This window comes from Homo sapiens, chromosome 5 (genome assembly GCF_000001405.40).
Source record: "Homo sapiens chromosome 5, GRCh38.p14 Primary Assembly".
NCBI lineage: Eukaryota > Metazoa > Chordata > Mammalia > Primates > Hominidae > Homo > Homo sapiens.
Window position 1 is genome coordinate 177019836 of NC_000005.10, and position 24441 is coordinate 177044276.

The 24441-nt window shown below is 45.5% G+C and overlaps 2 protein-coding genes across 29 annotated transcripts in view, besides 6 other annotated features; one reads left to right on the top strand and one right to left on the bottom strand.

Moving 5' to 3' along the window:
- Window positions 1-2767, bottom strand: part of UIMC1 (ubiquitin interaction motif containing 1) — a 117598-nt gene extending 114831 nt beyond the window's left edge. For both annotated transcript variants that reach the window (XM_017009577.2, XM_006714871.3), the window contains exon 1: window positions 2629-2767. The gene's annotated coding sequence lies outside the window, so the exon portion shown is untranslated. The remainder of the gene's footprint in view (window positions 1-2628) is intronic.
- Window positions 2565-3102: an enhancer, noted in NCBI's record as "H3K27ac hESC enhancer chr5:176449401-176449938 (GRCh37/hg19 assembly coordinates)". NCBI's record gives its function as "activates a minimal SCP1, AML or CMV promoter by ChIP-STARR-seq in naive H9 embryonic stem cells {active_cell/tissue: H9 hESC(naive)}" and the evidence as "EXISTENCE:reporter gene assay evidence [ECO:0000049][PMID:30033119]".
- Window positions 2626-2675: an enhancer, noted in NCBI's record as "active region_23692". NCBI's record gives its function as "activates an Ori minimal core promoter by ATAC-STARR-seq in GM12878 lymphoblastoid cells {active_cell/tissue: GM12878}" and the evidence as "EXISTENCE:reporter gene assay evidence [ECO:0000049][PMID:35858748]".
- Window positions 2861-24441, top strand: part of ZNF346 (zinc finger protein 346) — a 58494-nt gene continuing 36913 nt past the window's right edge. For 12 of the 27 annotated variants that reach the window (NR_131773.2, NR_131774.2, NM_001363713.2 and 9 more), the window contains exons 1-3: window positions 2861-3078; window positions 21291-21394; window positions 21943-22035. Coding sequence is in view for 25 of the 27 variants with exons in the window: in NM_001363713.2 (NP_001350642.1) it covers window positions 2904-3078; window positions 21291-21394; window positions 21943-22035 (372 nt within the window). In the remaining 2 variants the exon portion in view is untranslated. Of the gene's footprint in view, window positions 3079-3324; window positions 3400-3871; window positions 3940-21290; window positions 21395-21942; window positions 22036-23891; window positions 24385-24441 lie in introns of those variants that run through there. The other 15 variants (XM_011534494.2, NM_001308213.2, XM_047417051.1 and 12 more) reach the window with 5 other exon arrangements.
- Window positions 3076-3225: a silencer, noted in NCBI's record as "silent region_16669". NCBI's record gives its function as "represses an Ori minimal core promoter by ATAC-STARR-seq in GM12878 lymphoblastoid cells {active_cell/tissue: GM12878}" and the evidence as "EXISTENCE:reporter gene assay evidence [ECO:0000049][PMID:35858748]".
- Window positions 3076-3639: a biological region, named in NCBI's record as "H3K27ac hESC enhancer GRCh37_chr5:176449939-176450475".
- Window positions 3103-3639: an enhancer, noted in NCBI's record as "H3K27ac hESC enhancer chr5:176449939-176450475 (GRCh37/hg19 assembly coordinates)". NCBI's record gives its function as "activates a minimal SCP1, AML or CMV promoter by ChIP-STARR-seq in naive H9 embryonic stem cells {active_cell/tissue: H9 hESC(naive)}" and the evidence as "EXISTENCE:reporter gene assay evidence [ECO:0000049][PMID:30033119]".
- Window positions 18855-18904: a silencer, noted in NCBI's record as "silent region_16670". NCBI's record gives its function as "represses an Ori minimal core promoter by ATAC-STARR-seq in GM12878 lymphoblastoid cells {active_cell/tissue: GM12878}" and the evidence as "EXISTENCE:reporter gene assay evidence [ECO:0000049][PMID:35858748]".

Here is a 24441-nt window from a genome sequence, read left to right on the forward strand (position 1 = left end):
GCAGGAGAATTGCTTGAACCCAGGAGGTGGAGGTTGCAGTGAACTGAGATGGTGCCACTGCACTCCAGCCTGGGCAACAGAGACTCCGTCTATAAAAAAAAAAAAATTGTAAAACACTGGCCAAACATCAGTCACCTACTGTATTGGAAGCTTGGAAGCTCTAGGGCCTGAGGCCTGACATAGTGCTGGTGCTCAATATTTGTAGTATAAATAAGGAAATACTTGTAGTATAAATGACTAAATTACACCAATGAGCTATATGATCTCAAGCAAGAATAATTCATATCTGTCTCTCTTTGGCCTCCTCTGATATTACTTTCCTCCTTGTTCACTGGGCTCCAGCCATGCTGTCGTTTTTCCTGTTCCTCCAACACATCATGCTCTCTCCTGCCTCAGGGCCTTTGTACCTGCTGTTCTCTCTGCTAGAACACTCTTGCCCAGCTCTTTGCATGGCTACGCCTTCTCATTAATCAGGTCTTAGCTCAAATGTCATTTTCCCAGAGGCTTCTCCTGATGCCACCCTGATTAATGTTCCTAACACATCATTCACCTGAGATGCAATCCTGTTTTATCTTCTCCTTAGCACTTATTATTGTTAACTTTTTTTGTTTTTGAGATGGAGTCTCGCTCTGTTGCCCAGGATGGAGTGCAGTGGCACGATCTCGGCTCACTGCAAGCTCCGCCTGCTGGGTTCACACCATTCTCCTGCCTCAGCCTCCCGAGTAGCTGGGACTACAGGCGCCCGCCACCACGCCCGGCTAATTTTTTTGTATTTTTAGTAGAAACGGAGTTTCACCATGTTAGCCAGGATGGTCTTGATCTTCTGACCTCGTGATCCACCTGCCTCGGCCTCCCAAAGTGCTGGATTACAGGCATGAGCCACTGCGCCAGGCCTACTGTTAACTTTCTTATTGTACTCTCCTCCACTACAATAAAAAATACTTTACTACAGCTTCCCTGTCTTGTTCACCACTATATTTCCATGCTCAAAATATCATCTAGCTCATAGTAAATTCTCCATAAGTATTTGAAAAAATGAGGTTGAAATAAGCTAGTAATATTAAAAGCTTCATTCATTAAACAAATGTTTTGTATATACCTAGGAGGGTCCAGGTTCTATTTCAAAGTGCTGGAGATTCAGGTGCAATGACAAGAGACAAAAGGCTACGCAAGGTGGCATGTGCCTGTAATCTCAGCATTTTGGGAGCCCGAGGCAGGCAGATTATGAGATCAGGAGTTTGAGATCAGCCTAGCTAACATAGTGAAACCCCGTCTCTACCAAAAATATAAAAATTAGCTGGGTGCCGTGGCATGTGCCTGTAATCCCAGCTACTCAGGAGGCTGAGGCTGGAGAATTGCTTGAACCCGGGAGACGGAAGCTGCAGTGAGCCGAGATCGCGTCACTGCACTCCAACCTGGCGACAGAGCAAAACTCTGCCTCAAAAACAATTTAAAAAAAGAAAGAAAAGAAAAGAGACAAAAATCCCTGCCTTCCTGGGGCTTGCCTTCTAGTCGGGAGACAGACAATAAGCAAGATAAAAGGTAAAATATAAAAGAAATAAAGCAGGAAAGAAGGACATGAAGTGTGTGTGGAAAAGTAACATTTTAGATGGGATAGCCAGACAAGGTATTTTAGATAGAGTAGCCAGAGAAGGAAGTGGGAGACTGAGCCATGAAGATATATGAGAGAAATTCACCCCAGGAGGCCTGGATAACTGGGACAGGAATTAAGGAGTTGGGGACTGAGTAACACATCAGGATCAGGGAGGTTAAGGGAAGTCAGATTGTACAGGGCCTTGTTGGTCGAAGTAAGGACTTTGGCTTTTTTTTTTTTTAGTCGGAGTTTCGCTCTTGTTGCCCAGGCTGGGGTGCAATGGCGCCAGCTCGGCTCACAGCAACCTCTGCCTCCCGGGTTCAAGCCATTCTCCTGGCTCAGCCTCCGAGTAGATGGGATTACAGGCATGTGCCACCACACCCGTCTAATTTTGTATTTTTAGTAGAGACGGGGTTTCTCCATGTTGGTCAGGCTGGTCTCGAACTCCGGACCTCAGGTGATCCGCCCCCCCTTAGCCTCCCAAAGTGCTGGGATTACAGGCGTGAGCCACCGCGCCTGGCCGGACTTTGGCTTTTACTAAGAGTGAGATGGGAAGCTGTTGGAGGATTTGAGAACCTAAGCGTCATGATCTGACTTGTCATAAGAGGATTCCTGGAACTGCTGTGCTGGGAATGCCAGTGAGGTTGCTACTACAATAACCTAGGCAAGAGATGGTGGCTCCCAAAGACACGGGAAGGAGCAGCTCTGGGGTTGGAAGATAAAATTTGGGGTCTGACAGCTACATTGGAGAAGCCTATTAGCCATTCGAGTGAACTGTGGAAGAGGCAACTGGATGTATACAGGTCCGGAGTCTCGGGGAAGATCAGAGCTGGGAGCTGGCACTTGGAACTCAACAAATAGTATGTATTATTAGCAGTAATATGGAACCTTAGCTGTACTACTACTTACTAGTAGCGAGCTCTTGAGTTAACCATTTTTAGGTTCTGGGCCTCAGTTTCCCTGTGAATGAAATGGCGAAAACACTCCCACATAACGGGACCTTGAGAACGAAATGAAAAGTATCAAGGGCTGACCGTGAGCAAGGTGAGAGCCATGAGCCAAAACCACACGAGCCTCTCCGGGAGGGGGGGGTCACTGCTGCGGAATCAGCGACAGGTTTCCGAATCCACGGCACACGCTCTGAGGTACCAGAGGTAGCAAAGCAAAATAAGCGCGGGGTCCCGCACGGCAGCGCGGGTGCAGCGCCCAAACCTCGCGAGATTTGTTGGCTGGGCCAAGTACCACCCACCAAATCTCGCGATACCTAGGCGCCTGAGAGGCTCTCTACCGGTGAGGGTTTGCGGGGAAGATGGAGTATCCCGCGCCGGCCACGGTGCAGGCCGCGGACGGCGGAGCGGCCGGGCCTTACAGCAGCTCGGAGTTGCTGGAGGGCCAGGAGCCGGACGGGGTGCGCTTTGACCGCGAGAGGGCGCGCCGCCTGTGGGAAGCCGTGTCCGGTGCCCAGCCGGTGGGTAGAGAGGAAGGTGAGTCGGGGGCTTTGGAGGCAGAAAGCCCCTCGCCCGCTGCGCGGCTCGCGGGGAACTGCGGAAGCGCCGACGGTCACACCCCCTGGCCCGCCTCCTTGCGTGCTGCGCCCCGGGACCCCCAGACTTGTGCTCCCCATCCGGGCGCGGGCACCCCAAGAATCGGGCCCCCAGCGCGCTGAGGGTGAAGGGCCGCTCACGCTCAGGCCCTGGGTTTTCCTCCTCCTCCTTCATCATTCACTACAGCGCAGTTTTTCCCACATTCGAGGACTGTCATCCCTATACTCGTCCTGTCGGAGACCTACAGTCTTTGCCATCCCGGTAAGCCAAGCCGAGTGCCCCTCACCACTCCTTGACTCCCCATCGTCCCAATCTCCAGATTTCCTCCTAGGGCCTCTCGCCTCCCTTCTCTCAAGCCCCACACTTCCGAGGGCTCTGGAAGGCCTTCTCCTTACCCCCTGGGTTCCTCCTGGTCTTGATGACTGAGCCCTGGCTTACCCGTTTTTAGCTCTCTGGCCTCTACTTGCTGGGTCCCTTATTCTAAGGTGGGGACAAGGAGCCTGAGAAACTGGTCTGGGTTTGCTTTGGCTCCAGCTTCTTTGTGTCCTACACTTGACCCAAAGTTGCTGAGAACAGTGTATGCAAAGCCACGTTAGGGGTCACTCCTGGGCCGAAGCGCCCCAGCTTGCTCTGCACTTGACCTGAGACTGGGTAAGATGGGATGAAAGAAAGAGAAGGATGGAAAAGAGCTGTCCTGACCTGCTTGTGTGACTCCCTTCACTGTCCTTTACAGAGCCAGCTGCTTGATGCTAACCCAGATGTACAAGAACTCTATCTGGGCTTCTCTGCTAACCTTGTCAGGTATCTGGAGGGAAATCAGATTTCTCCAGTGATTTGTTTGCTTGCTGAGCAGACTTGTCTTCGAAAGTTTAATATGCTATTTGTGAACTGACTGCCCTGGATAAAATTGGATAAAATTGAAATTTTGACCATATCTAAGGAAGGTACACAGACCTATACCCTGGTATATACTTCTCCAATTTAAAAACAAGTCTAGCCTGTCTCCTAAGTTTATATATATATATAATGTATATTATATATAAAAAAGAAGGAGACAGGGCCCCAGAAATGGTGTGTGTGTATGCGTATATATAATATACACACACATAAATGTATATATATAATATATACACACATAAATCTGTATATATATTTTTATATACACTTGTAAGTATTTTATGTATACACACACACACACACACACACTATTTCTGGGGCCCTCTCTCCTTTTTTTTTTTTTTTTTTTTGAGAGAGTCTCACTCTGTCACCCAGGTTGGAGTGCAGTGGCACAATCACACTGCAACCTCCGCCTCCTGGGTTCAAGCAATTCTATACTGCCTCAGCCTCCGGAGTAGCTGGGATTACAGGCTGCTGCCATGACGCTCAGCTGATTTTTGTATTTTTAGTAGAGATGGGGTTTCACCATGTTGGCCAGGCTGTTCTCGAACTCCTGACCTCAAGTGATCTGCCCGCCTTGACCTCCCAAAGTGCTGGGATTACAGGCATGAGCCACCGCACCCGGCTCTCCTACTTTCACACTTGTTTGGTAGTTTCCTCCCCTACCCCAATTTTCCTTTCATTAACTTGACAAACACTCACTGATGCCTGCTCTGGACCCGGAACTGGTTGAGCTTCAGAGCTGGAGTATCAGAGGAAGATACTGCCCTTGCCCTGGAAAGGCTTGCAGTCTAGTCCAGGAAGCAGACACCAAAACAGTTCCAGTGTAATGTAAAGGATGCAGTGCTGAGGAATGTTTTAAGAGTTGGAGGTGCACAAGAAGAAAGTGACCTTTGCCCTGGATCTTGAAGCAGAAAACCACTGTGCTCTGAAAAGTGAACTGTCTGCTATGTGTATATGAGTGTATAGTGGCACTGTTATGACCCATTTCATTTCCCTGTTCTCACTTCTCCCACATTTATGTGAAATCTAGGTAGACACCTACAACATTAAGTTCTACTCACCCTTTTTCTACTCTTAGCACCTTCATGTGAGTTACAATTTATATACCATACAAGTCACCCATTGTAAGCATATCGCCAGTGATTGTTAGCCAGTGTACAGAGTTGTATAGCCATTACCACAGTCCACTTTTAGAACATTTCCGTCACCCCAATTAGTTCCTTTGAGCTCATTTATATTAAATCCCCACTCCCACCTCCTGCCCTAGGCAACCAGTGACCTGTTTTCTGTCTTGGGTAGTCTTTTGAGTTTGGCTTCTCTCAGCATGTTTTTGAAGTTCAGCCAAGTCATGGTGTGTATTAGTACTTCATTCCTTTTTATTGCTAAATAGAATTCCATTGAATGAATATAACACATTCTATTAATCCATTCATTAGTTCTAGACATTTGGATTGTTTCCAGTTTGGAGTTTTTGTGAATAGTGCTGCTGCGAACATTCATGCCCAAGTTTTTGTGTGAACATACATTTCATTTCTTGAGTATATCCCTAAGAGTGGAATTGCTGGGTCATATCGTAACTCTGACATTTTGGAGAACTGCCAAACTGTTTTCCAAAATGGCTTCACCTTTTATATTTCTGCCATCAGTGTATGAGGGTTTCGCTTTTTCTATAACCTTGACAACACTTGTCTTTTTTGATTATAGGCATTCTAGTGGGCATGTAGTGATATCTCATTGTGGTTTCCTAAAGACTGATAATACTGAGCAACTTTTCAGGGGCTGACTACCCATTTGTAGATCTTTGGTGAAATATCTATTCACATCATTTGCCTATTTTGTAATTGGGCTGTTTGTCTTCTACTGAGTTGTAAGAGTTATCTGTGTATTCTGGGTACAAGTCTTTTATTATAGATATGATTTCCAGGTATTTCCCCCTGACTGTGACTTGTTTTTTCATTTTCTAAACAGTGCCTTTTGAAGCACAAAAGTTTTAAGTTTTGATGAGATTAAATTTATCATTTTTTATCCTATGTATTGTGCTTTAGTGTCATATCTAAGAACTCTTTATCTTAACCCAAGATTTGAGAAATTTTCTCTTGTAGATCTTCCTTATTATTATTATTATTTTTTTTTTTGAGATGCAGTCTCACCCTGTCACCCAGGCTGGAGTGCAGTGGCATGATCTCAGCTCACTGCAACCTTCGTCTCCCTGGTTCTCCTGGAGGAGGTCAAGCGATTCTCCTGCCTCAGCGTCCCGAGTAGCTGGGATTACAGGTGTTCACCACCACATCTGGCTAATTTTTGTATTTTTAGTAGAGATGGGGTTTCACCACGTTGGCCAGGCTGGTCTCAAACTCCTGACCTCAAGTGATCTGCCCCCTTCAGCCTCCCAAAGTGCTGGCATTACACGCGTGAGCTACCATGCCCAGCCCCTTCCTCATCTTGTTTCTGAAGGAGTTTGTGAAGGATGGATTGGTAATTTTTTTTTTTTTTTTTTTTTTTTTGAGACAGAATCCCACTCTATCGCCCAGGCTAGAGTGTGGTGGCACGATCTCAGCTCACTGCAGCCTCCCTGTCCCAGATTTAAGTGATTCTCCCGCCTCAGCCTCCTGAGTAGCTGGGATTACAGGAGGGTGCTACCACACCCAGCTAATTTTTTTGTATTTTTAGTAGAGACAGAGTTTCACCATGTTGGCCAGACTGGTCTTGAACTCCTGACCTCAGGTGATCCACCAGCCTTGGCCTCCCGAAGTGTTGGGATTACAGGTGTGAGCCACCACACTCAGTTGGTAATATTTCTTTTTACAGTATTTTATAGAAGTGTTGACCTGCAAGGAAGAGGCTAACACACAAAATATGATTTGAAGAGTTTACTTGATTTTTAAAGGCAAAAAAATGTGGACAGGGAGTGGGACTCATACAAAGTTGTTTATCAAGAATTCTCATTGATTTACAGAAATAACATTGGTTAGTGATTGGCTGTACATTAAGCTGTAGGATGTAGGATATAGCGTCAGGTAGGGCATTATTAGGTTAATCCTTACCCACTTGTGGCAATAGCAAGCAGTTTTGATAGATGAATCTTAGCTCAAAAAGGGAGAATAGGAAGTGATTGCTATCTCATTTTAATATCTCTCTGGGCCCTGATCATTTAAAAAAACTTGGATTCTTTAGATAAAAGTTATCTTCTTTTTTTTCAGACAGAGACTCACTCTTCCGCCCAGACTGGAGTGCAGTGGTGTGATCTCGGCTCACTGCAACCTTTGCCTCCCGGGTTCAAGCGATTCTCGTGCCTCAGCCTCTCAGGTAGCTGGGATTACAGGCGCCTGCCAGCACACCCAGCTAATTTTTGTATTTTTCGTAGAGACGGAGTTTCACCATGTTGGTCAGGCTGGTCTCAAACTCCTGACCTCAGGTGATCCGCCTCAGCCTCCCAAAGTGCTGGGATTACAGGGGTGAGCCATCACGCCCAGCCGATAAAAGTTATTTTCTGACCTGCCTGGGCAACGTGGAGAAACCCTGTAAATTTTTGTAAAATTTGTGTTTTTGTAAAAATACAAACATTAGCCAGGTGTGGTGGCTCACATCTGTAATCCCAGCTACTCAGGTGGCTGAGGCACGAGAATCGCTTGAACCCAGGAGGCTAAGGTTGCAGTGAGCCGAGATTGTGCCACTGCACTCCAGTCTAGGCAACACAGTTGAGACTTTGTCTCAAAAAAAAAAAAAAAAAAAAGTTATCACCAGTGAAGCTACCTGGGCCTAAGCTTTTCTTTCTTCCTTTCCTTTTTTTTTTTTTAAATTCTCTATTTATTTATTTAGAGACAGGGTCTCTGTTGCCCAGGCTAGAGTGCAGTGGCACAATCATAGCTCACTGCAGCCTCAGACTCCTTCAAACTCAAAGCTAGGACTGCAAGGGCATACCACCATGCCCAGCTAATTTTTGTGTTTTTTTAAATAGAGGGTCTTGCTCTGTTGCCCAGGCTGGTCTGAAACTCCTGGCCTCTAGTGATCCTCCTGCCTCAGCCTCCCAAAGGGTTAGGATTATAGGCAAGCATGCGCCATGGCACCCAGCTGGCTTCGGCTTTTCTTTGTGGAAAGGTATTTGATTATTCATTTTCTTTACTTGTTTTAAGTGTACACAGAATATTTTGTTTCTCCTTGTGTCACTTTTTTTTTTTTTTTTTTTTTTTTTTTTTTTTGAGACGGGGTCTTGCCAGGCTGGAGTGCAGTAATGATCACTGCAGCCTTCGCCTCCCAGGTTCAAGCAATTCTCCTGCCCCAGCCTCCCGAGTAGCTGGGATTACAGGCATGTGTCACCATGCCCGGCTAACTTTTTTGTATTTTTAGTAGAGACGGGGTTTCACTGTGTTGGCCAGGCTGGTCTTGAACTCCTCGAACTCTAAAGTGATCTGTCCGCCTCTGCTTTCCCAAAGCACTGGGATTACAGATGTGAGGTCCCTGATTATTTTCTTGGTTAGTCTAGCTAAGAATTTGTCATTTTCTTGATCTTTTCTAGTTTCTAAGGTAAGATCTTATGTTGCTGATTTGAGTGATTTGAGATCCTTCTTTTCTGATGTAGATGTTTAAAATTATAAATTTCTCTCTTAAGCACTTGTGACGTTTTATATATATATATATATATATATATTTCCCTCCATAGTTCCTGGCTCACAGCTTCTATAACCCTTGTACTTTCCTCAGTGACTAAAGCAGTAAGAGTATCTTCTGTTAAAATATTTGGCCTTTTGTCCTTGCTTCCTGAAACACCTCTGGAACTGCTCCAGAGCAAGAAAGGTGAAAAACAGACTTTTGTTATTTATAACAAGCCCCTTTCTTTTTTTTTTTTTTTTTTTTTTTTTTTTATGAGATGGAGTCTCGCTCTGTTGCCCAGGCTGGAGTGCAGTGGTGCGATCTCGGCTCACTGCAAGCTCCGCCTCCCAGGTTCATGCCATTCTCCTGCCCCAGCCTCCCAAGTAGCTGGGACTATAGGCGCCCACCACCACACCTGGCTAATTTTTTGTATTTTTAGTAGAGACGGGGTTTCACCATGTTAGCCAGGCTGATCTCGATTTCCTGACCTCGTAATCTGCCCTCCTCGGCCTCCCAAAGTGCTGGGATTACAGGCGTGAGCCACCGCACCCGGCCATATAACAAGCCCCTTTCAGCCACACCTTGGTACATGTTAATAGGGTGATTTTTGAGAAGTCCCTAGATTACCACATTCTGGTTGGCTGGTTGCCATAGGAACCAACCATGTGCTCAGAGGCTTGGAAGTTACAGCCCCCCATCTTGAGAGGGTAGAAAGGAGCTGAAGGTTGAATTGATCACCGATAGCCAGTGATTTAATCAACCATGCCTATGTAATGAAGCCTTCATAACAACCCAAAGACCTCAGTTTAGGGGCTTCCAGGAAGGTGAACAAGAACACATTCATGTGCTGGAAGTGTGGCACACCCCAATTCCATGGGGATAGACGCTCCTACACATTAGACCCTTCCAGACCTGGCCGTATGTATCTCTTTATCTATTTGTATCCTTTAACATATCTTTTAGGTTGGCCTGACCCAGTGGCTCCTGCCTGTAATTCCAAAACTTTGAGAGGCCAAGGCAAGAATGTTAGTGGCCATGAATCTCAATTTCTGCCTCCTCAGAAGAAAGAATTCAACCAAAGGGGCATAAGGCAAAGTGAGAGACCAAGGCAACTCTTAGAGCAAGAGTGAAAGTTTATTAAAAAGTTTTAGGGCAGGAATGAAAAGAAGTAAAGTATACTTGGAAGAGGACCAAGATGGCGACTTGAGAGAGACAAGTAGGCGGTTTGACCTTTGACTTGGGATCTTACACATTCACACGCTTGCTGGGTCTTGCGTGTTACTTCTCCCCTGGTTTTTCCCTGAGTTCTGTGAGCTGCTCTAGCAAATTAATTGAATCCAGGGGTGTCATGGAAACCTCGATTTATAGCCGGTTGGTCAGAAAAACAGGTGAAAGAATGTGGAACCTGCAATTGGCATCAGAAGTAGGGCTCAGTCTTGTAGGAATAAGCCCTCAACCTGTAGGATCTGAAGCTGTCTCCAGGTAGATAGTGTCAGAATTGATTTGAATTAGGGGACACCAACTGGTGTCCACTGCAGAATTGAGTGCTTGGTTTCTGGGAGGAGAAAACCCACACATATGGTCACAGAAGCGTTCTGTATTGTAAAAGTAAAGTAGGATAAACTGAGTTTTTTTTCTCCAGAGCACTGCTTTAGTTGCAACTCATAAATTTTTGAATGTTTTATTTTCACTTAAATCAGTTCAAAATAATTTCTAATTTCCCTTGTAAAATTTCTTCTTTGATACATGTTATTCAATTTCTAAATATTTGAGGATTTCCCAGATTTCTTCCTATTGTTGATTTCTGATTAAATTCCATTGCGTTCAAAGAATATACTTGAGATGAGTTCAGTCCTTTTAAATGTAGTGCAACTGGGCTGGGGGCGGTGGCTCACGCCTGTAATCCCAGCACTGGGAGGCCGAGGCGGGTGGATCATTTGAGGGCAGGAGTTCAAGACCAGCATGGCCAATATGGTGAAACCCCCATCTCTACTAAAATACAAAAATTAGCCGGGCATGGTGGTGCCGTGCCATGGGGTTTCACCGTGTTAGCCAGGATGGTCTCGATTTCCTGACCTCGTGATCCGCCCGCCTCAGCCTCCCAAAGTGCTGGGATTATAGGCGTGAGCCACCATGCCTGGCTATTTCATTTTTAAATAACAGCTTTATTGACGTAAATCTCACATTCCATAAAATTCACCTGTTTAAAATGTACAATTCTGTGGTTTTTAGTATATTCACAGAGTTCTGCAACCATCACCACTGTCTAATTTTAGAACATTTTCATCACCCCAATAAAGAAACCCTATACCTAGGAGCAATCATCCCTGGCAACGACTTATCTCCTCTCTTTATGGATTGATGCCTATTCTGGACATTTCATGTAAATAGAATTGTATAAATATGTGGCATTTTTGTGACTGGCTTCTTTCGCTTAGTGTAATTTTTTTTTTTTTTTTTTTTGGTTTTTTTTTGAGACGACATTTTGCTCTTGTTGCCCAGGCTGGAGTGCAATGGCATGATCTAGGCTCACTGCACCCTCTGCCTGTAGAGTTCAAGCGATTCTCTTTTTTCTGTTTTATTTTGTTTTGAGACAGAGTCTCGCTCTGTCGCCCAGGCTGGAGTGCAGTGGCGCGATCTCGGCTCACTGCATGCTCCGCCTCCTGGGTTCACGCCATTCTCCTGCCTCAGCCTCCCGAGTAGCTGGGATTACAGGCATGCGCCCCACAGCCAGCTAATTTTGTATTTTTAGTAGAGACAGGGTTTCTCCATGTTGGCAAGGCTAGTCTCAAACTCTCAACCTCAGGTGATCTGCCGCCTTGGCCTCCCAAAGTGCTGGGATTACAGGCATGAGCCACTGCGCCTGGACACTTAGTGTAATGTTTGCAGGATCATTTGGCTGGATATAGAATTCTTAGTTGACATTTTTATTCTTTTTCACCACTTTGAATATGTCATTCCAGTGCCTTCTGGCCTTAATTGTTTTCAAATAAGAAGTTGTCATTAATTGAATTATTTCACTGTACATGATGAGTCATTTTTCTCTCTCTCTCACCGCTTTCAGGATTTTCTGTCTTTGCCTTTCAACAGTTTGTGATGTGTCTAGGTGTAGCTCTCTTCACATTTTTCCTAGTTTGGGTTCCTTGAGATTTTGGAATGTGTAGATTAATGTTTTTCATCAAATATGGGAGGTTTTTGGACATTTTCTTCAAATATTTTTTTCTACTCTCTCTCTCTTCTCTCTTCTTCTGAGGCTCTCCTTACACATATGTTAGTATGCTTGAAGTTTTTCCATAATCTCTGAAGCTTTGTTCATTATTCTTCAATGTTATTTCTCTTTGTTCTTCAGATCAGCTATTTCTATTGCTGTATCTTCAAGTTCACTGATTCTTCTGCCATTTTGAACTTGCTGTTGAGCTCCTCCAGCAAATTTATTGTATTATAATTTCAACTCCAGAATTTCCATTTGTTTGTTTTATTAGTAGCAGATCATCAGTACCCTTACATTTGCTTTCTTCATGCCTTTTCTTTTTTCTTTTTTTTTTTTTTTTTTTTTTTTTTGAGATGGATTTTCACTCTTGTTGCCCAGGAGTGCAATGGCACAATCTCAGCTCACTGCAACCTCTGCCTCCAGATCCAAGCAATTCTCCTGCCTCAGCCTCCCGAGTAACTGGGATTATAGGTATGCGCCACCACACCTGGCTAATTTTTTGTGTTTTTAGTACAGATGGAGTTTCACTATGTTGGTCAGGCTGGTTTTGACCTCCTGACCTCAGGTAATCCACCCACCTTGGCCTCCTAAAGTGCTGGGATTACAGGCGTGAGCCACTGCACCCAGCCTTTTTTTGTTTTTGTTTTTGTTTTTAGACAGAGTCTTGCTCTGTCACCAGGCTAGAGTGCAGTGGCGCAGTCTTGGCATGCTGGGATTACAAGCATGAGCCACTGCACGCAGCTTTTTTTTTTTGAGACAGAGTTTCGCCCTTGTCACCCAGGCTGGAGTGCAATGGCACAATCTCAGTTCACTGCAACCTCCACCTCCTGGGTTCAAGCGATTCTCCTGCCTCAGCCTGCTGAGTTAGCTGGGATTACCAGCCCTCTACCACACCTGGCTAATTTTTGCACTTTTTAATAGAGATGGGGTTTTACCACGTTGGCCAGCCTGGTCTCAAACTCCTGACCTCAGGTGATCCGCCCGCCTCGGCCTCCCAAAATGCTGACATTACAGGTGTGAGCCACCATGCCCGGCCTCTTCATGCCCTTTTCATTGGATAGAAATTTGAGCTTCTTGAGACCATCAGCAGTATGGATTTGGCCAGGCATGGTGGCCCACACCTGTAGTCCCAGCTGCTTGAGAGGCTGATGCAGAAGGATCACTTGAGGCCAGGAGTCTGAATTCAGCCTAGGCAACATAATGAGACTCTGACTCTAAAAAATTAAATTAAAAACAAAAACACAGTATGGACTCACAAAATGGAAGTACCAGTGCTAAGTAGACTTAATAGGACCGTCTTGTTCATTCTTTTAGGCCATACTGCCCATTAAAATACTACATTGTCTAACCATTCTCATCCATGGGTAGATTATACCCAACCTCCCTTTCCTATGATTGTTTGAGGGGTTTTTGCTTTTGAGATGGGGGATCTTGCTCTGTCACCCAGCTGAAGTGCAGTGGCGCAATTATGGCTCACCAGAGCCTCGAACTGCTAGACTCAAGTGATTTCCCCCATGTCAGCTTCCCTAGTAACCAGCACTACAGGCGTGTGCCACCACACCTGGATAATTTTTTAATTTTTTTTGTAAAGATGAGGTCTCACTTTGCTGCCTGTGTTGGTCTCAAACTCCTGGCATCAAGCAATCCTCTAGCCTCAGTCTCCCAGAGTGTCAGATTACAGGCGTGGGCCACTGACCCAGCCCTAGGATCTTTTATTTTCTGCTTTCTGACTATAGCTATACCTAAAAACCCTTTGCCTCCTAATAAGCTGGGTAGTAAATAGGTTTCATCTTCCTAAGGATCACCTTCAGTCAGTTGACGAATTTTTTTGTTTTGTTTTGTTTTGTTTTTGTTTTTGTTTTGTTTTGAGATGGAGTCTCACTCTGTAGCCCAGGCTGGAGTGCAGTGGCATGATCTCTGCTCACTGCAAGCTCCGCCTCCTGGGTTCACGCCGTTCTCCTGCCTCAGCCTCCTGAGTGGCTGGGACTACAGGCACCCGCCACCACACATGGCTAATTTTTTGTATTTTTAGTAGAGATGGGGTTTCACCATGTTAGCCAGGATGGTCTCGATCTCCTGACCTCGTGATCCACCCACCTCGACCTTCCAAAGTGCTAGGATTACAGGCGTGAGCCACCGCACCTGGCCCAGTTGATGAATTTATACAGAGCTCAATTGTAGATTCTAAGGTCACATGTAGGCCTAAGGAATAGCAAGTCATTTTTGAGACAGGGTCTCACTCCCTCACCAAGGCTGGAGCATAGCAGTGCAATCCTGGCTCATTGTAGCCTCGAGCTCCCAAACTCAGGTGATCCTCCCACGTCAGCCACTTGAGTAGCAGGGATAACAAGTGTGCACCACCATACCCAGCTAATTTTTTGTAGTTTTTTATAGAGATGGGGTTTCACCATGTTGTCTAAGCTGGTCTCGAACTCCTGGCTCAAATGATCCTCCCACCTCAGCCTCCTGAATAGCTGGGACTACAAGTGCATGCAGGCTACCACACCTGGCTTAAATTTCCTTTCTTTCTTTTTTTTTTTTTTAATTTTGAGACAAGGTCTTGCAGTGTCACCCAGGATGGAGGCTGAAGTGCAGTGGTGTGATCACAGCTCACTTCACTGCAGCCTTGACCTCCTGGGCTCAAGTTCAAACGATCCTCCCACCTCAGCCTACCAAGTAGCTGGGACTGTAGGTGTGCACCACGACACTCAGCTAATCTTTTTTGGTTTTTTGTAAAGACAGGGTCCCACTATGTTGCCCAGGCTGGTTCTTGAACTCCTGGGCTCAAGCGGTCCTTCCACCTCAGCCTCCCAAAGTGCTGGGATTATAGGCATGAACCATCACACCCAACCCTTAAATTTGTTAAGTTTATTAATTATCTTGCTGTCCCACAAAAGTTCTCTGTGTTCCTACTTCATCGACCCTGTGAAAAGCAGCCCTGTGCTTCATACTCTAGATGGCATCTCTCAGCCTCTGCCCCATACATCTTTTACTTGGCTATCATGTGGATATAAATTAAATCCTGTGAATACGTAACATCTCATAGGATGTAGAATGCAGAAATGCAGTAAAGACCATACTTCTGTGCCTCTTGGCTATTGTTGCTGTCAAAAAAGGTCATGGAACTACATCAGTTTTCCAGCATCCGTTGTCCAGCTTCATAGGTTGAGAGAGAAGTTGTTACAGTCAAAGCATCTTGCTTCCAGCAGAGCTGTGAAGGAGCCTCAGAGACTGTAGGTCACCTATTGGAACATGTATGCATTATTCCTGGAGATGTTTCTGGAGGCCCAACCTAGTATCATACTTTCAGCCTCTCTAGTGATTTTCTTTTTCTTTTCTTTTCTTTTCTTTTTTTTTTTTGAGATGGAGTCTTACTCTGTCGCCCAGGCTCAAGTGTAGTGGCACGATCTTGGCTCACTGCAACCTCCACCTCCTGGGTTCAAGTGATTCTTGTGCCTCAGCCTCCCAAGTAGCTGGGATTATAGGCACATAGCACCATGCCTGCCTAATTTTTTTATTTTTGGTGGAGACGGGGGTTTGCCATGTTGGCGAGGCTGGTCTCAAACTCCTGGCCTCAAGCAATCTACCTGCCTTGGCCTTCCCAAGTGTTGGGATTACAGGCTGAGCCACCACGCCCTGCCTCTCCAGTGAATGAATGAAAAGCACCTCATTTTCCATATCAAATCTTTTGCACCCTGGAGAGATAGTTGGTAGTTGGATTAAAGTTGTGTGCAGATATCATGGCAAAAAGGATGTGTAGTCAGGCTGCCATCTCAGAATTTTGACAATTTTTTTTTTTTTTTGAGACAGAGTTTTACTCCTGTTGCCCAGGCTGGAGTGCAATGGCGCAATCTTGGCTGACTGCAGCCTCCGCCTCCCGGGTTCAAGCAGTTCTCCTGTCTCAGCCTCCCGAGTAACTGGAATTACAAGTGCCTTACCATCACACCCGGCTAATTGACTTTTTTTTTTTTTTTTTTTTTTGAGACAGTTTCACTGTGTCGCGCAGGCTGGAGTGCAGTGGCATGATCTCGGCTCACTGCAACCTCCGCCTCCTGGGTTCAATCGATTCTCCTGCCTCAGCCTCCCAAGTAGCTGGGACACAGGCACCTGCCACCATGCCCTGGGGCTAAACTTTTTTGTATTTTTAGTAGAGACAGGGTTTCACTATGTTGGCCAGGCTGGTCTTGAACTCCTGGCCTCGTGATCCGCCCGCCTCTGCCTCCCAAAGTGCTGGTATTACAGGCGTGAGCTACCGCACCCGGCCTAATTGACAATTTTATCCAAGTTTTTTTTTTTTTTCCCTCTGTGGGCCTTAGCTTCCTCCAACCTCATAAACCTCTCAGTTTTTGTGGGCCAGGAATTTGGGAAAGGCTTGGCTGGATAGTTCTGATTCAGGGTCTCTTATGCAGTTGCAGTCAGATGGTGGCTCAAGTTGAAACAGCAGGGAAATGGAGCATCTGGGAGCTAGAGCTGAAACAACAGCGGGGTGGAGCCTCTGGGGGCTGGCCAGACATCTCTCTTTTCATGTGGTGTCAGGAACTCTCCATGTGGTCTTGATGCATGAAATAGTCTGGGGTTTCTCACAGCTTGGTGGCCTCAGAGCAGTCAGACTGCTTACATGGTGGGCAAAGGCTTTAAAAGCAAACATTCCCAATTTGGTTCCCTTTTATAATTTCTACTTTAATGTGTTTATGTTGCTTAGTGGTCAGATTAACTAGGGATTCAACAAGATCTTGTTCTAAACACCTGGAGCCTATAAGCCCTTGATTTTGTATTGTTGGATCTGTGTGTTGGTAGGGAAGCATAATCAAAGTTCAAGTCATTTTGAGATCTACCCTTCCCACGAGGTCCTTTTGCATCTCTTTTGTGTGTGTACGCAGCCTCAGGGTGGCCATGAGTATGTGGCTAACTTGGGCCCTCTCAGGTCTCCGCTGTCACACAGTCTCAGCCAGGAACACACTTGCCCCAACCATGAGCACACCTCCGGCCAGTGAAGCCTTTCACTCTTCCTGCTTACTGCCTTGGAGATCATCATTTCCATCAACAATATTGCTACATGTAAAGGAAATCAAGTGATTTCCTTCCTTCTGTATGGAAGCTATTTGTTTTCATGGCTAGCACCTTCTTGCCAGAGTTTCTACACCGATTGCAGGAAGGGCTGAGAGCAGCCTCACCTGAGCCTGGGAAATTGAGGCTACAGTGAGCTGACATTATGCCACTGCACTCCAGTGTGGGCACTGCAGCCTGGGAAACCCTGAGGTTTTGTTTGTTTGTTTGTTTTTCCCCATCTGGGGAAAAAAAAAAGCCGCTGATTCCTACTGTTCTTACCTGAAGTTCAGCAGTTTTGCAAGCACAAAATTGCTCTCGGATTGTTAAGTCCCTTTGGTTAACTTCCAGAGTGCTGAAGTGGTTGGTTTTGTCAGTTTTGTCCGGTTTTGTCAGTTTTGTCCTGTTTTATTGTTGCTTCTGCAGGAGATCTCCTCACTCTGCCTTGGCCAGAAGTTCCACCCTGTACTCACTTTGTTTTATATTCAACTTCGCTTCCTCTGCCTGACTTCAAAATTGGGAGGGTCCCAAGGCTCAGTCTCTGAACCTCTTTCCTTCTTCATCTACGCTAGGCAATCTCTTCCAGCCCCACAGTGTTCAATATGATTGATATACCAATGATTCCCCATTTATATCTCCAGCTCTGACCTCCCCCTTGAGCTTCAAGTGACTGACAGATCTGAATCTCCAACTCATCTCCACCTATATATCTGATAGACTACTCACACTCACATAACGAAAAGTCTTTAATTTTTCCTCCAAGGCTATCTTCCCCTAGTTCTAATCTATTCACTTGTTCAAGTTCAAAACCTAGGAGTTATCCTTGACTCCTTTCCTTCCTTCACTCCCACCCCCACATCCAGTCTAAGAAATCAGATGTCAAACCTATTGCCGGAACATAATTCCAAATTCATTCACTTTTCTCCATCTCCACTGACAACCTGCCTAGTCCAAGCTTCCATCATCTATTCTCTGAAGACTACAGCAGCCTTCTCCTTGTTCTTTCTGCTTCCATTCTTGTCCCCATACAGTCTGTTGACAACAACTGTCAGAGTAATCTTTTCAAGGGCAAACCAGATCTTGTCACCTCTCATTACACTAACAATAAAATCCGTAGTTCATACTGTGGCTTATGGAGCCTTATATTCATTCAACATCATCTACTAGGCCTCATGCTGTCTCTCCAACTTAATTTCCTACCATTCTTCTCTCATTCACCATATTCCAGGCATAGTGGGCTTCTCTCCATTCTTTGAACATGGAATATGCCAAACTCATCCCTGCCTCACAGACTTAATACTGTTTCAGGTTGGAACACTCTTTTCCTGTAAGCCTTGTGGCTGACACTTCCCCATGATGATTTTTTTTTTTTTTTTTAAATTTTCAGAGTCAAAGTCTTTCTCTGTTGCCTAGGCTGGAGTGCAGTGGCACATTCACGGCTCACTGAAGCTTCAAACTTCTAGGCTCAAGGGATTCTCCCACCTCAGCCTCCTGAATAGCTAAGACTACAGGCATGCGCCACCATGCCCAACTACGTTTTTTTTTTTTGTGTGTGTGTGTTTTTTAATTTTTGTAGAGATGTGGCTCTCCCTGTGTTGCCCAGGACAGTCTGAAACTTCTGGGCTGAAGCAATCCTCTTGCCTCAGCCTGTTGAGTTTCTGGGATTATAGGTGTGAGCCACCACAACCGGCCCTGTGATGGTCTTTACTAACTCTCCTGCCCCGTCATTCTCTACCCCGTACTCTGCTTGTTTTCATAGCATTTCTAATTCTCTGTCATTGTCTTGCTTATTTTTTACTTTATACCCCATCTTCTTTGTTGGTATGGCCCCCAGCACTAAGTGCAGTGTTGACACAAAGCACGTATTATAAATATATTTGTGTGGACTATGTGAATGTACTCTCTAAGGCCAGAGAGTGCATTCCAGCAGAGAGGTACATTTATTTAGCAGGTGCTTACCTGCCCTTGCTGTGGGTTTGGGAGTCTGATTCTGAATATGCTTGAAACCTCATCTCTTGAACAAAACAAAATCCACAATCTCCAGGTGAGGAAGTGATGACTGAACTCTGACCCCTGGGTATTACCTTCCCCATGTGGGTTTCTTATTGTGAGAAGCCTCTGACCCTCTTTTTTTTCTTCTTTTTTCTTCTTCTTCTTGTGTGTGTGTGTGTGTGTGTGTGTGTGTGTGTGTGTGTCCGAGTTTTGCTGTTGCTCAGGCTGGAGTGCAATGGCACAATCTCGGCTCACTGCAACCTCTGCCTCCCAGGTTCAAGTGATTGTCCTGCCTCTGTCTCCCAAGTAGCAGGGATTACAGGCATGCTTCACCACACCCGGCTAGTTTTGTATTTTTAGTAGAGATGGGGTTTTACCATGTTGGCCAGGCTGGTCTCAAACTCCTGACCTCAGATGATCCACCCACCTTGGCCTCCCAAAGTGCTAAGATTACAGGCATTACCAATCGTGCCTGGCCACCTCTGACCCTCTTTTAAAAGTTCTGGGCCAATTTTGTTTATAGAGTCATTTCTCTTGGTTTTTCAGAGCATAGCTAAGACAGGCAAGGTCTTTCACAAAAATTTACCATTTAAAAGAAAAATGCAGAAATAAAAAGAGATCATTAGGGGCAGAAATACAGCCCTTCTGCCTAAAAGGGCTGACATAGGTAAGCTTTAGATTTTGTGGATTAAGGAGAGACATCTTAAAAGCTCCCCACCAAGAACCTCTTCCAGGGCATCGACTTTTTTTTTTTTAAGACAGGGGCTTGCTCTGTTATCCAGGCTGGAGTACAGTGGCACTAACATGGCTTGCCATAGCCTTGACCTCCTGAGCTCAAGCAATCCTTCTGTCTCTGTCTCAGCCTTAGCCTCCCATGAAGCTGGAACCACAGGCATGTGCCACCACCCCCGGCTAGTTTTTGGTTTGTTGGTGTGTTTGTTTCTATGTAGAGACAGAGTCTCACCATCTTGCCCAGGCTGGTCTCAAACTCCTGGGCTCAACCCATCCTCCCACCTCAGCCTCCCAAAATGCTGGGATTACAGGTGTGAGCCACTGTGCCTAGCCTTGACCACTTTTTGGCTGAGACCAGGAGATTAAAAATGTGGGCCTGCCCTCCTCTCCCAGTTTTAGACTCTGCCTCTGCCTCTGCCTCACATTGCCAGCGCCATGATAGAACTCATGCCTTGGCCGGGCGCGGTGGCTCACGCCTGTAATCCCAGCACTTTGGAAGGCCAAGGTGGGTGGATCACGAGGTCAGGAGATCGAGACCATCCTGGCTAACACGATGAAACCCCGTCTCTACTAAAAATACAAAAAAATTAGTTGGGCGTGGTGGTGGGTGCCTGTAATCCCAACTACTCGGGAGGCTGAGGCAGGAGAATGGTGTGAACTTGGGAGGCGGAGCTTGCAGTGAGCCGACATCATGCCACTGCACTCCAGCCTGGGTGACAGAGCGAGACTCCCTCTCAAAAAAAAAAAAAACAAACAAAAATGAACTTATGCCTTGGGAGAGATTTTACCTCCTCTTCTCTTCTCAAAAAGGTAAGACTGTTCTCCAGGCACAATAATTTAAGCACAGGTTAATACCATGTTTCATATAGTGTGGCACTTATATAATACGTTATGTGATTTTATTTTATTTATTTATTTAGAGACAGAGTCTAGCTCTGTCACCCAAGTTGGAGTTAGTGGCACAACCTCAGCTCACTACAACCTCTGCCTCCTGGGTTCAAACAATTCTCCTGCCTCAGCCTCCCGAGTAGCTGGGATTATAGGTGCCTGCCACCACACCTGGCTAATTTTTGTATTTTTAGTAGAGACAGGGTTTCACCATGTTGGCCAGGCTGGTCTCGAACTCCTGATCTCAGGTGATCTGCCCACCTCGGCCTCCCAAAGTGCTAGGATTACAGGCGTGAGCCACCACGCCCCACCCTGTTATGTGATTTTAAATGTTTCAAAGTCAGATCAAGAACAATGAGAAAAGTATTCCTTTTTCGAGTCTTTCAGTCCTCCTGATTCTATCTGGGAAGAAGTTTCAGTTGGGTGCTACCATATCTTAAAACCTCTCAGCACAGTTGCTGTTCTCTTCTTCCTGGGGAATGCTCCAAGCCTCATTTTTATCATATTTATTTTTATTGGTATCTGCTTAAGTTTATGATCTAAAGATTCCTTTTTAAAAGAAGTTCCTAAGTAAAGAAAGTTGGCATACATAAAATTATAAAATAAGTAATAGTGTAGGTGGTGTGAGAACACAGCATGAGTCACGGTGGCAGTAGGAAAGGCTGGCTGAGGTCTGCCAGTGTCCTAGTATGGCATCCCATCATTCAGTGCCTGTGTTTGAGGCAGGGTTCAAAGGCAGTGCTGTTGAGGTAGTGTTTGTCAACTCAATGATTTCTTGTTTTCCCCTCTATAGTGGAGCACATGATCCAGAAGAACCAATGTCTCTTCACCAACACCCAGTGTAAGGTTTGCTGCGCCTTGCTTATTTCTGAGTCCCAGAAGCTGGCACATTACCAGGTATGCCATCATACTTTTAGAACTGCGTTTCTTTTCAGACCTGGTGCCAAACCACTAATTCTCTCTGGCTTGCATGGTGAAGTGTAATTGCTGCTTAGCCACCCAGATGTTGCCTCCATGCATGTTGGCTTGTGACTTGAAGATTGACTTAATCTCCTTGAGTCTCATCTCCCCCATCCAAATCAGGATCATTATATGTGTATCTTCCCTTGCAGCTTGGCATAGCATAAAGTATGAGCTTTGGCTTTAAATAGATCTGACTTTAAATCAAAACTCTGCTACTCATCTTGAGCAAGAAACTTCATCATTTTTAGATGTAGTTTCCTCATCCATAAAATAGAAATGGTCATAATTTTCTCATAGATTGTGAAGATTAAATTTGGTAGCTGTAAAATGCCTTGCACAGAGCAGGAACTCAAACTTCCCTCACCTCCTCCTCAAAACTTTTTGTGAGGATGAATCAGATGAAAATCTCATAAGTGTTTTTGAGTGCCTTAAGTATGAAGTAGCATTTGGCTATCTTTGATCTTTCTCCTGGGTTTTTGCAGAGCAAAAAACATGCCAACAAAGTGAAGAGATACCTAGCAATCCATGGAATGGAGACATTAAAGGGGGAAACGAAGAAGCTAGACTCAGATCAGGTAATACAGCTGCCATATTGAGCCCACTTGCTTCATGATGAAGCCAGCCAGCAGGTTGGTGTGGTGAACAAGTCAGACTGTCTTGGCTTCAAATCCTGGCCCTGTTGTGTGACTCGGGCAAGTCTATTACTTCACAAAGCCTTGATTTCTTCCTCTATAAAAATGAGGATGGTAATATCAACTACCTTTCAGGATTTTTTAGAACTAAAATTGAGGGCAGATTTATAAAAAGCACCCAATTCAGAGCCTGGCACATAGTAGGGACTCAGTAATGGAGCTGGTATTACATATTACCGCCTAGTGGTTTGTTAGAGCAAGACAAGAGAAAATGGAAAGAAGCCAGGCTGCTTGCTTTCTTGAGGGCCAAGGAAAAGAACTAAGTTCAGCACTTGAATGTTTTGCATAAATAAGCAGAAGGAACACCTTTCCAAATGTCTGCTGTGATTGAGAGGTGATCACATGTGCTTTTTGGCTCAGAAATAATATGAGCATTATGCTGAAGCAACCCCCAATCCCTCAGGAGTACCATCTCATCATGGGAAGAGAAGTTAAGCAGACTAGGGCTCAAAGCTGGCTGTGTGTCTTACTGATCGGGTGAGTTTGGCCAAGTCACTTAACCTCTGTGAACTTCCCCCATAAAGTAGAGATAATGCCTACTTCTTAAGGGTATTGTGAGGTAAAATTTCAATTCCTAGTAGATGCTCAATAAATAAGAGTTTACTCTATAGACTGCTACCTCCTATTATAGTAGCCACAGGTCAGGAAGGTCCTTGTTTATCTCTTCTCAAAATTTACTGGACTCATCCCCTGGTTTCCCTTATTATTTATTTATTTATCCCTGGTTTCCCTCCTTTCTATTTCTCTATCTGTCTATTTGTGAGACAGGACCTGGCTCTGTTACCCAGGCTGGAGTGCAGTGGTGCAGTCACGGCTCACTGCAGCCTCAACCTCCCAAGCTCAAGTGATCCTCCCACTTCAACCTCCCAAGTAGCTAGGACTACAGGCACACACCACCACGCCTGGCTAACTGGAGTGCAGTGGCACGATCTCAGCTCACTGCAACCTCCACCTCCTGGGTTCAGGCGATTCCCCTGCCTCAGCCTCTGAAGTAGCTGGGACTACAGGCACGCGCCACCACACCCAGCTAATTTTTGTATTTTTAGTAGAGATAGGGTTTCACCAGGTTGGCCAGGCTGGTCTCAAACCTCTGATCTCAAGTGATCTGCCTGCCTCAGCCTCCCAAAGTGCTGGGATTACAAGTGTGAGCCACTGCGCCCAGCCGCCTGGCTGATTTTTTAAAAAATTTTTCGTAGAGACAGGGTCTCGCTTTGTTGCCCAGGCTGGTCTCAAATTCCTGGTCTCAAGTGATCCTCCCACCTCAGGCTCCCAAAGTACCAGGATTACAGGTATGAGCCACCACACCTGGCCCTTTTCTCACAATTTATAATTCAGAAAGGCAAGATAAACTCTATGACCCTGGGCAAGTTATTTTACATATTTGCACCCTATTCAGAGATCAGGCTTTCTGAGAGAGATGCTGGGATCCCTTTATGTAGTCTTGAAATACATGGTTTCCTAGCCTAATCATAATCAACAAGTAGAACGCAATGGGAGGCTGGGTGCGGTGGCTCATACCTGTAATCCTAGCAATTTAGGTGGCTGAGGCAGGCGGATTGCTTGAGCTTGGGAATTCGAGACCACCCTAGGCAATATGGTGAAACCCCGTCTCTATAAAAAATACAAAAATTAGCCGGGTGTGGTGGCATATTCCTGTAGTCTGGCTACTTGCAGGGGTGGGTGGGAGAATTGCTTGAGCCCTGGAGGTGGAGGTTGCAGTGAGCCGAGATCGTGCCACTGCACTCCAGCCTGGGCAACAGAGTGAGACCCTGTCTTAAAAAAAAAAAACCTAATGGTCCACTTGTTCAGCAAACTCTGAGCATCTACTGTGTGCCAGACTCCAGCTGGGTGTGAAGGATAAGAAACAAAAATGAGTCAAATAGTCCGTGTTCCAATGTCACACTTGAGTTCACAGAAAAGTCTCCTAAGCTATGACACTGTCAGTTTAGGGTGGCAAGTGGTATGACAGAGGTCTATTTAATGTACTCTGGGAGCACAGAAGAGGAGCAGGGTTAATTCTTCCTGGAATACACAAAGGGACTTGACAGTTGTTTACTGAATGATGTTTTTTTTTTTTTGAGAGAAAGTCCCCCAGAGGAAAAGCTTATATTTAAATTGGGTCTTGAAGGCTAAGCAGACACGCTGCCAAGCAGGAAAGGAAGGAAGCACATTTTAGACAGCAGGAATGGCCAAAGCAAAGCAAGGAAGCATCAGAGAATAAAGTGGGGGATGGTGAGTAGAGTCTGGGACAAAGTAGCTGGAGAAGAATCTAGAAAGTAGGTTGGGGTT